Source organism: Homo sapiens, chromosome 10, assembly GCF_000001405.40.
Source record: "Homo sapiens chromosome 10, GRCh38.p14 Primary Assembly".
NCBI classification, from domain to species: Eukaryota; Metazoa; Chordata; class Mammalia; order Primates; family Hominidae; genus Homo; species Homo sapiens.
The window spans coordinates 98,360,172-98,372,350 of record NC_000010.11 but is presented as its reverse complement, the minus strand read 5'-3'; the positions used below and the strand labels follow the sequence as shown (position 1 = coordinate 98,372,350).

Genomic DNA, 12,179 nt, shown 5'->3' with positions numbered 1-12,179 from the left:
AGGGTCTAATTGTGTCCCCCAAAAAGACATGTTGAAGTTTTGACCCTCAGTACCAATCAACGTGACCTTGTTGGGAAACAGGGTCTTTGCACATGGAGTCAAGATGAAGTCCTAAGGATGAGCCCTAATCCTATATGATCATGTCCTTATAAAATGAGGGAAGTTGGGACACACACACACACACACACACACACACACACACACACAGTGCCTTATGAAGACACAGACACAGGGAGAAGACGGCTGTGTGAAGTGGAGGTGGAGATGGGCGGGATGCTGCCACAAGCCAAGGGTGTCTGGGGTGACCATGGAAGAGGCAAGAAAAGATCCCCCCGCCACCCCCCAGGAGGTTTCAGAGGAAGTGTGGCTCTCCTAACACCTCGAGTGTGGTCCTCTGGCCTCCAGAACTGTGGGATAATAAATTTAAACCACCCAATTTGTGGTTCTTTGTCATAATAGCCCAGAAGACAAATACAGAGACTCGCAGTTGCTCCCCGTGCCTGGCCTGGGTACTCTCCTTCTCACACTCTCTCTGCAGCTGGTTGGGAGCAAAAGCCTCAGGGAAAAGTACAGATCCTCTGGTTTCTCTTTGCCATGTCTCCTCCATGCCTGCCTTAGTAGCATCAGAGAGTGTGCCCCTGGGAGGGGACGCAACTCGGGCATGGAGCGGGTGGCCCAGTATCAGAGACCGTGTCATGCAACAGGAGGGCAGGGGAGCCCGGCTGGCACCCCTTGTCCCTGAGGGTGCTGGGAGGATGAATGCCTCTTCCCGGTCAAGTGCTTCCAGCAGAGACACTTGACATTTTCCTGTCCACACACCATTTGGCAAGGACGAGAGCTCCGATGGGCCATCCTGACCTTTGCTGTATTTTTCTAGGATAAAAGCAAAGAGCTCATCAGATTACAGGGGAAGGGGCCTGCTTCTGCAGAAACTGAGCACGGTATACCTTCCCTTGTTTTACCTTTAACATCTTATAGAGGCAACATAAAGACTTGGTTGAGCTGCAGCTCTGTGATTTGCCTGCCTGTGAACTTCCACCCAGAGGCGAGCACAAGCCCCCAGGGACTGGGATGGCACCAGCCAGGGCAAGGTCGATCTTTATAAATACTCACCAGATGCAGAGTATGATCCCAGTTTTATAAAATAAATGCACTTATGTGTCTATCTGCATATTGAATTGTCTGGAAAGAAAGCGCCAAATGTTATCTATCCAGGGGAGAATTATAAATGTTATTTTACTTCTGTTTATCTCTTTTCTAATATTGCTGCTATAAACAGGAAGGAATGATGTAATAAAAACGGCCAAAAGACAAAAATTATCCATGGTTACGGCTTCTGAGTGCAAATTTTGTTCATATTTCTGAGTGCCTGATAGATAAACAAAAACACCAAAAGAGAGAGACATAATGATATAGCTACACATAATACACAATATTAACCCTTTCTTACTCCAGAAAGGATAAAGATGCTTTTTCCAGTGAAACACTTTTTTCCTCTAGTCTGATGATCCTGTGTTTACAATACTGTGATTTCACTTAACATGCTATCAAGCATTTCCCCATGGTGTTCTAAACCTTTCCATTCATCATTATTATATGTTACTTACTTAAAGTCCTTATAATTGAACATTTTAGTTTTAAGCTTGGAATTTTTAAATTAGGAATGTTACATTTTACTTCTAGCAGCAAAACTTAGCCAGGCAATTTACAAGTTGCATTATCTTTTTTTACCCCACTGGTTTATTTTGATTGATACACACAATAATTTACAATGTAACTCTTTGTGGTCACATATGTATTTATTTATGGTTAAACAGTGTTCTCTCCTTTTCTTTAAATTTCAATTTTTTAATTTTTTATTTTATTTTATTTTTTGAGATGGAGTCTCTCTCTGTCGCGCAGGCTGGAGTGCAGTGGTGCAATCGCGGCTCACTACAATCTCCGACTCCCAGGTTCAAGCGATTCTCCTGCCTCAGGTTCCCAAGTAGCTGGGACTACAGGCGTGTGCCACCATGCCTGGCTAAATTTTGTATTTTTAGTAAAGACAGGGTTTCACCATGTTGGCTAGGCTGGCCTCAAACTCCTGACCTCAAGTGATCAGCCCTTGGCCTCCCAAAGTGCTAGGATTATAGGCCTGAGCCACTGCGCCTGGCCTAAATTTCAATTTTTTCAATTACAATTTTTTAAACGTCTCCAACATTTTGTGTTCCAAGATCCAGTTTGATTTGCTGTCAGGGAGTGGCAACTTCCCTCCTGCTGAGGTTGAGAGAGGGCTTGCAGAAATTTGTTTAGAGCCAGATTCTTGTAACATATCTGGTACATAAAGTTCGCTGCACCTGGTCCAAGGCAGGAGGTGGACGGATGGTTTCTCCCCAACCCCCTACCGTTGTGCCTGCTGACACTCGCCGGCTGGAAATCAGCTTGAGTCGCAGTTGATTGTTTCATTTGGATCTACCCCTGTTTTGCCCCACACCATCCATGTCTGGGGCAGGCATTCTCACTCCTATTTTTCAATTTGCTACTAGCCTTGTTGGTTTGAAAGTGATTTTGAATGTCAATTGATAGTAAAAGAAACACTATTTCTGCCACTAAGTTTCCATTTTCCTAAAAAACTTTCAACATGATTGCTGCCCTCCCTTCATCCATGGGACATCCCTGCCTTTCTGCAAGGAGGGCAAGTATGCGGTTCAGGCCACGCTGCCCCTCCTCCCTTGCTTGTGGCCAGCGTCACCAGATGATCACTGCATTCTCACGGGCAAGGCCTAGACACGGTGTTGATAGGGCTGGCAGCTAGGACAGAAAACTATTTGCTGTTCCTGGTCTTGATGGTGTTAAATATCTTCTTTTAACTCTGATATTCTGTGAATGTTTTTCCAAATTATTCCATTTTTACCTTTTTAATTTAAAATCTGAGTTACGTATGATTGCAAACAGAACCTACGAAGTCTCTGCAATTACTAACACAAATCCTGACAGAGCAATCCTGGCATGAAAAACTGAACATCTCTGCAGTGACTGATGTGGAGCAGCAGCAGCTGGAAGTTGGGATATGAGACCAGCAACGAATGCACAGACAATACCTCCAAACCGGGCAGAAACAGAGACACTTCCTTCACCACACTTGGCTGGGATTTTCACCAATCCGTGGTGAGGAGTGATTGGAAATTAATCTCAGAATCCCACTGTGCGTTTGTAGTTCACAACATATAATTATGCCTAAGTTTACTTTATAGTAAACCATATATAATTCTCATTCCACAGTGCAGATTCTGCCTCAGACAATCCTTTTATTGTTTTTAGAAGCCCTGTGGTAAAAGCCTTACTGGATGATATCATTTTAATTATAAATCTCTACTGGAAGGTCCCCCAAGCGACTGCAGTAGACAAAATTCCAATTCCCAAAGTCAAGGGCCAGGTAATTTAAACCCTGTCCAAAATGCTGCTTTAATAATACTTAGTTTTGACTGGGGAACTACATGTTATAGCAGCATCGGAGAGCTTATACATACAGGCCCTGATACACACACATATCTGTGCTAGGTGCTGGGGATACAGCAAAAAATAAAACAATGTTCATAGCCTCAAAAATCCTCCAGGTAGTAAATAAACCATGAAGATATGAGTCACACTAGGACCTTTTTTTTCTTTCTTTCTTTTACTCACTACTATACCAAAGAGGAGAGTATGAGGATAAGAAGAGAAGGTCTGGAACAATCACTAAAGGACAAGGATGAGGGAGATGATGAGAAATTAGTAAAAGGACTGATGTAAGACCACACTCATATTGTTATGGACCAAGTCCATGGAATCTGTATTAAACACTTAGAATAAAGAGACAAGAGGACTGGCCCTTCTGTTTCACGCTCCAGGAGCGTAAGTGGTGCAAATAGTGAGATTCCAGCAGAGGATTTGGATGGGGTTGCACATTAGGATGTTAGGCGGCAAGTCCCCTGTAGAGCGTGCAGATGGCTTGAAGTGGTGCATGTGAATGAGGAGAGGAATGCGCATCCTCCTGGACTGGGGGAGATGGAGCTATTAGGGAGCGATGTCTGAAAGGCTCATCTTGGAGCACAGCTGCAGGAAGCAGAGCCAACGCGATACAGCAGGCGCTCAAATGGGGCCGTTTCATCAGGTTCCATCTCTGTGCAGTGCCAGCCTGTGGAAGGAAAAAAAGGGAAACTTGGAGACAACCCAGCTTTGTGAAGGCTCAGCCTCAAGAAGCCTCATTGCCAGGAAAGGCTTAGCAGTTGGGTTCTCAGTAAAGAAGACAGAGCTTAGATGAGGCTAATCAGGGCTTTTCAAATTACCGGTTGAATGTATAACTCTGCCCTTGGGCCATTTGGCCTTGGAATGGGTGAAAGGATGTGGTGGAGTTTCATCTATTCACAGTGCTTGAAGTAGAGAGCAAGCTGGAAGCACAGAGGACCCCATTGCCCGGACTTTCACCCTCAACTCCTCCAACCCCCGCTCTTGTTACGGCAGCGTGCAGCCGCCTTCGGCCTCCTGCCACACTCCCAGAGCAGCCTGGCCTCGCTTGGTAATAGTGAAAAGGACCACAATGCCTCTCTGTATCTTGTATGGCTCTCACCGTTTACAAGCTGATGACAATTTTTATTTCATTTGATGGAACAACATACAGATGGAGGCAGAGTACGCGTTATCCCCCTACTGTGCAGCAGAACAGACTGAGGCTCAGAGAGGAGGTGGGCATTTTCTCTCTTACAGCTGGTAATGGTGTTAGAATTCCAACTCAAGAAGTTTCACTCTAAAGACCACTGCCCTAGGAGGAGTCTTTATAAAACAGTGTGTCCAGAGTGTTGATTGTAAGCTGCTCATTGTTCTGCAAACTTACTGCACGGAGTTTTTGAATGAGGACTAATTCCTGAGAGGAGAAATGCTTCCTCCCAGAAGCCAGGTTTGGAAGAGGTGGGGGCCCAGCCCGTCTCTGTCAGATGGAACTGGTGGTGACAATGGTGGCCATTTCAATGTCATGAGAAAGACTCAACCTGCGGGGCTCAGCCCTAATGCAGTTTGGGGCAGATAGAATCAGCCCCTGATACCTGCAGGCAGCACCTAAAAAGTTCCTGCGTGGTTGTCATCTGTGGTTTGGGTGCTCTGTGTCCGTGTCCCCTTTGTTTGATAACAGCATTGGGAGTTGGAGCTCTCTCCTCCGTCATGTGACATGTTGGTGTTCTTAGCTCCCTTGACTTAAGGGTAGGCAAGTGACCCCAATACAACAAATCAGACTGTTTCCTGGGATTCTCTCCTGCACAGAGAGTGGGGGAAATGTTTGGAGCATATTTATTTCAGGGGCAGAATCTCAAGTAAGCTGTCAATTAATTTCTCCTGCCCAGACCCCAGAACACTGTGGTTCTTGACCCTGCTCTCCTACAGTCTACTGGATTCTGAAAGCCACCTGGCGCCCCTCCAATCAAACCTTTTCCCATCTAAGATAGCTAGAATCAGTTTCTGTTGCTTGCAACCAGAGAACAATTGGTGGTCTCCACTTCCCTTCTATTTCCCTTCATTTTCTCTCTCCTCTAGTCCCCTCTCAGGGGGAGCAGAAGATTAGAAAGGAAAAAGTCCTGAAATCGAAGCCAAAAATCTGAATTTGAATCTAGTCCCTGCCACCTCACAGCTGAGTGATCTCAGACAAACTAACCTTTCTGAAAACTCACGAAACATGTGAGTGCTGATGCGAACGTCACCTGTGTGTTGTGAGGGCTACGTGAGGTAATATATACAGGCCCCAGGGTAGCACCCAGCACATATTCGCACCTTCCTTCCTTCCTACTTTTCAGCTCTGCTCCCCGCCCTCCCCGTCCTGGTCATTTCCATCTCTCCACCTCTCTCTCCTTTCCTCTTTCATCTCCCTCTCTTGTAGCACCTCCATCTCCTGTCTCAGCAAGTAACCAGCAAGCTGATGACATTCGGGGCCAGGCCTCAGCTTAACAGCAAGTTCACAGTGAGCTACACACACACAGGACACGTGGAATGGTGCTTTGGTCAACAGGTCAGGAGACGTCAGGTCAATGAGAAACAGCTTCGGAGAAAAGTAAGAATAGGAAGGAATTCATAAAGCTGAGGGTGAAGCTGTTTGCCCTGGGGGAAGAAGACAGAATGAAAGCAGGATCTATACTCCTTCCCTGACCTATAAAGGGAGCATTGTCTTAGGTACTTTGGGAGAAAAAGAGGATAGGCCCAGAAATATGCCCTATGAAGAAGGGTAAAAAAGCTGGCACCCTGGGCACCAAGCGAGACAACTACCCCTTTTCATTTGGGGATAAAGAGGGCAGTGAGTCTGTGGCCAGGCGGGTGGCGGGTGGGTTCAGGTGAAGTGGGAAGTTCCGGCTTCGTCAGGCTGGCTCCGGGTCAGGCGGTGTGCGGCTGAGCAGGTCTTTCCTGCTGTGCTTCTATTTCAGGGTGTGTGTAAGATGAGGGGTCACCGAGGCTGTGTGCAGGCCTCTGCGCCTTACCCAGCGGGGTATGTGGGCTCCTGGCTGTGGCCAGGCCTCAGGAGGTCAGCCGGCCACTGAGACACCAGGGCTGTCTGGCACTGGAGGCCTGGGCTGCGCAGATCCCATCCTGCTGTTTTGGCTGCTGTGAGCAGCTCCTGCTCTTCTCTCCCACCTGCTTTCCTCTGAGTCCCTGTCCACTGAACTTGAAAACTGCAATTTTTTTTTGGTCTTCAGTGACAGTTAGCAATTGACTTGGCTCCACACAGCCACCAACAACCCAGGAGGCAGGATCCTTCTATGCAGAAAGACGGACGGAAGTTCTGACGGGGGGCCTGACTTGCACTTCCTTTGTTCTGAGCCAGAATTCAGCTCAGATGACGCCTCCATCAGGGGACCTTGTGAAATTCAGATGCACCTGCCCAAGTGAGCACCACCGTTTGGGCCACGTCAGTGGGCATTCTGAGGCTTTGTATCAGATGAGAGCTGTCTGAACGGGGCCTTTCATGTGGCCCATCTAAAGCTGTGTCTCTACGTAAGCACTTTCAAAATTGTTAAAAAACAAAAAAAGAAACAAAACAAACAAACAAACAAAACCTCAACTGTGTGTGAAAGCATGGAAAGGGTTTGGGTGGCCTGTGAGCCCTCAGAGGGCAAAGCCTGACATTGGAAACGGAAAAAGGAAAAGGTTTTTTTCACACGCCCCCACCGCTGAGGCCATCAGCATCTGGGACTCTGGTCCCATGCATCACATCGCTTCCCCTTCTCCCTCCTTTTTCTCTTCATCCCCAGTGGTGAGGAATATAGAACTGGCGTACCAGAGGATATCATCGCTGGTGATACATGTTGGCCTGGAGAGAGACCATGCCCCCTTAAGTAAGGAGCAGGATCCACTTCGTAGCTTCATTCACAGGCTTCTGTTTGATCTCCTGTAATTCTCACTGTGACTCACTTATGTCATACTCAGAGTCACTCTCAGAGGGGCAGGCTCCGCCCCGCTCCCCAACTCAGCAGGTACGAATCCCCACTCCAGCACCTGCTAACCACATGGGCTAGTGACCCACGTCTCTGAGTGATGCTTCTTCATCAAGGGACAGGGATGCCAGCACTTCAGAGAATTGTTGTGAAGCTTAAATAAGATGAAAAGTAAAGCATTTGGCACATAGCAGGTGTTTAATAAATATCAGTTCCCTTTCCATGGTTGACTGATGATAGTAAAGGCCACAGTTTGCTCCCTGCCCCCACACCCTTTGGTGGGGCCTCCCACACTGACTGTGGGCTTGGCCTCCCACACTGATGCTTTGGCCAGTGGGACAGTAGTGAAAGGGAAAATCAGGAACACGTGAGAAGTGGAGAGCCCAGCGGAGCACAGTAAATTATTTTAGGATAAGAGCTGTAGCTTTTGGGAGTGTATCAGAGGCTTCTCTCTATGTGGCACCACTGCTTGGTCCTGGGGCAATGGATCCTTGGCTTTCCAATCACTAGAGACCCCTCCAGGCCTGGCTGACCATGATCTCAGCAGATTAGTCAACCAATGGGGAGTGCCCAACTGGGCACTCTGCCCAAGGCTGGGCTAGAGGTTAAAGAGCAGGCTGAGACCCCTGCCTTAAGTGGCTTACACTCTACCTCCTGGAAACCATGCCAACCAGATCCAGAAACGTAAGTTCAGGGCAATACATGGAGAAAGAAGTAGGAGCCGAATAGTTCAGTACACGTGTCTGGAGGAGAAAGCCTAGAATCAGACCAGGAGAAGTGATTAGAATTTAATAACAGAAAAAAGCTTTTGGCCTAGGATCAAGACAGGTCGGCGCAAAAGGGGGCCATCCAGGATGGACAGCGTCTGCACACATGGATGACAGCAGCAGGCCCTCTGTGTGCCCTCTCTGACCTGGGTGACAAAGTCCCTTTGATCTTAACAGTCCCTGACTAATGACACTTGGTTTTTAGATACGGCCATGGCACCCACAGTCCATGTGACCTGGAGTGATCAAGGGTGGGGAGAGGCAGGTATTATACTTACCTTGTCTGGGTTTCTCACCTAGAAAACTGAGGCATGTGTTAGACTGGTGAAGAATCCTCCCAACTGCAAACATGCTGGCCACCACGGGCAAACAAAGGAACAGCCAGAAACCCTAGAGAATAATAGATGGAAATAACAAAATTAACATAAAATTCAGACTTACTTTTGGGAAGAGGAAGGAGAATTCTACTAGGGAGGGCTTACAAGAGTATCGGTTACTGGTGATAATTCTGTCTTTTAAGCTTTCTGGTAAGTGCTTGGATATTTGTTACGATTTGTATGGATTTCATATGCACTTTTAAAAATATATTTTGCATATACATATAAATGCACAGTCACATGATTAGATCAAGTAAGAGAAATAACAGACTGGGCACAATGTCTGACATCAGCCTTGTCTCAGCTGGGCGTTTTCCTCCAGGGCCACCTCCTGTCTGGTTCCTAGTTGAAGGACCCGTTCATGACTTCCAGTGCTGTGTGGCAGTAGCGACCCAGGACTTGGAGTTGGAAGACCTGTTCTGCCACTTATTAGCTATCCACATTTTACTATTGTTGACATTATTGTTCCCGGACCAAACTGAGGGTCAGGCTGCTATTTCTCATGGCCCAATAACGAGATGCAGATGAACTAGGGAGGAAGATAATTTTTATTTCTGCAACCTGTTACAGAAATTTTTATTTCTGCAACCAGGGAGAAGGCCTGGAAATTATCACCAGACCAACTCAAAATTACAAAGTTTTCCAGAGCTTCTATACCTTCTAAGCTACATGTCTACATGGAGGTGTGCATTCATCTAAAGACATAAGTGATTAACTTCTTTTCATCTATAACTAAGGTCTGAGTCTTGAAGACCTTCCTCTGGAGCCTCAGTAAGCTTACTTACTCTTGCTTTTTTTTTTTTTGAGACACAGTCTCGATCTGTCGCCCAGGCTGGAGTGCAGTGGTGCGATCTCGGCTCACTGAAAGCTCTGCCTCCCAGGTTCACGCCATTGTCCTGCCTCAGCCTCCCAAGTAGCTGGGACTACAGGCGCCCGCCACCACAGCTGGCTAATTTTTTTTTTTTTTTTTTTTTTTTTTAGTAGAGATGGGCTTTTGCCGTGTTAGCCAGGATGGTCTCGATCTCCTGACCTCGTGATCCTCCCGTCTCCACCTCCCAAAGTGCTGGGATTACAGGCATGAGCCACCACGCCCGGCCAGCTTACTTACTCTTAATGGGTCCAGTTGCTGGAGTGATTACCCTTATCTTCTCTCCTGCTGAATCACAGGTTTTAGGAGTTCCTCCAGACCCCCAATAAACTTGTTTAATCCTAAATGGGTCCTGTTAAGAATTCCTTCATTATTCTGTCATGCTTTAAGGCCCAGGAAAGGCCTAGACAAAACTCTTGGTGGGCTTTTGTTACATCCTAGCCTTTGTATAAAGGCACTGGCTTTTAATATTTAACTTAACCACTCAGTCAGTACTGAAGCGGTTGTTATGGAGGCCTGTGTGAAACTTGGCCTGCTACAATATTAGATTCTCCTCAGTAAAATGGGGATAGCAACTGCCTGCATTAAAGTGTTGACATGGCTGGGTGCCGTGGCTCACGATTGTAATCTCAGCACTTTGGGGGGCCGAGGCAGACAGAACACTTGAGCCTAGGAGTTTGGGACCAGCCTGGGAAACATGGTGAAACCCCATCTCTATAGAAAATACAACAATTAGCTGGGCACGGTGGCGCATGCCTGTGGCCCCAGCTACTGTGGAGGCTGAGGTGGCAGAATCACCTGAGCCCGGGAGGTCAAGGCTGCAGTGAGCTGTGATTGTGCCACTGCAGTCCAGCCTTAGCAATTGAGTGAGACCCTGTCATAAATAAATAAATAAATATATAAATAAATAGTGTTGACATGAGGGTGAGAGATGATGATGATGAATACCAATGTTCCAGAAAGTTCCATGTTTTATTAATGGCTTCCATGACCACCATCTCCAAGGCTCCAGTAATGTGTCTCTGTGCCTCTGGCGCCTTCTTCAATCTTCTATGTCCCAGTTTGCCTCAGAAGCTCTGGTATTGCAGTCCTCAGAAGCTGGCTGACATTCCTCTTCTGATCAAGCCAGGGAACTGCCTCTTAACAAAAGCTTTGCCTCCTCCGACCCCAGGCTGTCAGAGAAGGGACCTCCTCCTCTGGACATTACCTCTCGTTCTTTATCCCTAGACGACACCTGCCTCTGGGGCCCAGAGCCCCAGAAACCAGGTGTGTGTGACTCTCTCCCAGGCGACATAGTCCCTCCCTCCGGAAGATGCTCATCTCAGGCTCTCTCTACTTTCACTCCTTTTAGGAAACCACACGGTGGCCTTACCCCAGCTCTCTGAGCAGTGCCTAGTCATCCCAGCTGGCCTCATTCACTTTCAGGAGGCACTAGGGCATATTAGGCAAAGCCCCACTCAACCCACGTATCTTCATTATCACTTGCTGTGTTACGAATGACTCCAAAACGTTTATTATCTTGCAGCACTGTGAGTCAGGACTTGAGAAGTGGCTTAGCTGGTGGTTCTGGCTCAGGGTATCTCATGAGGTTGCAGTCCGGTTGTCAGCCAGGACCGCGTCATCAAGAAGCTTTCCTGAGGCTGAAGGATCTGTCTGCAAGCTCACTCCCAGGGCTGGCAACAGAAGGCTCTTGTTCCTTGCCGGCTATTGGCTGGAGGCCTCAGCTCCTCACCATGTGGGCGTCCCTCTATGACATGGCAGCTTGCTTCCCAGAGGGAGTGATCTGAGAGAGCAAGCAACGCCAAAGCCATGGTGTCTTTTTAAATATTTTCAGATTCCTCATTATCTTTTATTTGGTATTTTCAGAAACCATACATAGTAATACTGACAAACTCGATTTTAATGTTTGACATTAGAGTTCAGACCAGATCATAGAGATCTGCTATACTTTGCAATGTGATTTTTGTTAATTTATTTATTTATAATTTTTAATATTTAAAAAAATATTTTGCAATGTGATTTTTAAAAAATAACAGCTTCAGGCCGGGCATGATGGCTCCCACCTATAATCCTAGCACTTTGGGAGGCTGAGGTGGGTGGATTGCCTGAGCTCAGGAGTTCGAGACCAGCCTGGCCAACATGGTGAAACTGTCTCTACTAAAAATGCAAAAAATTAGCCAGGCGTGGTGGCAAATGCCTGTAGTCCCAGCTACTCAGGAGGCTGAGGCATGAGAATCGCTTGAACCTGGGAGGTGGATGTTGCAGTAAGCCAAGATCACTCCACTGCACTCCAGCCTGGACAACAGAGAGAGTCCCTGTATCCAAAATAAATAAATAAATAAAAATAAAAATAAAAATAAAAATAACAGCTTAATTGATATGTCATTTGTGTACCGTACAATTCACCCATTTAAAGTATACAATTCAGTTTTTAGTATATTCACCGAGTTGTGCATCATCACTGTGATTAATTTTAGAACATTTTCATCACCCCAAAAAGAAACCCCGTAACCATTAGCAATCACTCCTCATTTCTCCCTAAGCCTCCCAGCCCTCGCTAACCAGTAAGCTATTTTCTGTCCACATGGATTTGCCTATTCTGTACATTTAATATAAATAGAATCATACAAAATATGTGGCATTTTATAATTCTTTCATTTAGCATAATGTTTTCAAAGGTCATCCTTATAGTATGTATCAGTACTTCATTCCTTCTTATTGCTGAATAATATTCCAT

At 46.5% G+C, this 12,179-nt stretch overlaps 1 long non-coding RNA gene across 2 annotated transcripts, besides 3 other annotated features; it reads right to left on the bottom strand.

The window, feature by feature from the left end:
- Nucleotides 3,733-4,351: an enhancer, noted in NCBI's record as "NANOG-H3K4me1 hESC enhancer chr10:100127757-100128375 (GRCh37/hg19 assembly coordinates)". NCBI's record gives its function as "activates a minimal SCP1, AML or CMV promoter by ChIP-STARR-seq in naive H9 embryonic stem cells {active_cell/tissue: H9 hESC(naive)}" and the evidence as "EXISTENCE:reporter gene assay evidence [ECO:0000049][PMID:30033119]".
- On the bottom strand, nt 3,783-11,097 carry LOC105378449 (uncharacterized). 2 transcript variants are annotated; one of them, XR_001747305.2, is made up of 3 exons: nt 10,815-11,097; nt 8,476-8,587; nt 3,783-4,156 (listed from the first exon to the last, which is right to left on the bottom strand). It is a non-coding gene; the product is annotated as an uncharacterized LOC105378449 (long non-coding RNA). The 2 variants fall into 2 exon arrangements; XR_946233.3 differs by having other exon boundaries at nt 8,494-8,587; nt 10,815-11,045.
- Nucleotides 3,905-4,199: a silencer, noted in NCBI's record as "tiled region #9035; HepG2 Repressive non-DNase unmatched - State 21:Repr, and K562 Repressive non-DNase unmatched - State 21:Repr". NCBI's record gives its function as "represses a minimal TATA promoter and a strong SV40 promoter by Sharpr-MPRA in HepG2 and K562 cells {active_cell/tissue: HepG2 | K562}" and the evidence as "EXISTENCE:reporter gene assay evidence [ECO:0000049][PMID:27701403]".
- Nucleotides 11,005-11,299: an enhancer, noted in NCBI's record as "tiled region #15191; HepG2 Activating non-DNase unmatched - State 10:DNaseD, and K562 Activating DNase unmatched - State 5:Enh". NCBI's record gives its function as "activates a minimal TATA promoter and a strong SV40 promoter by Sharpr-MPRA in HepG2 and K562 cells {active_cell/tissue: HepG2 | K562}" and the evidence as "EXISTENCE:reporter gene assay evidence [ECO:0000049][PMID:27701403]".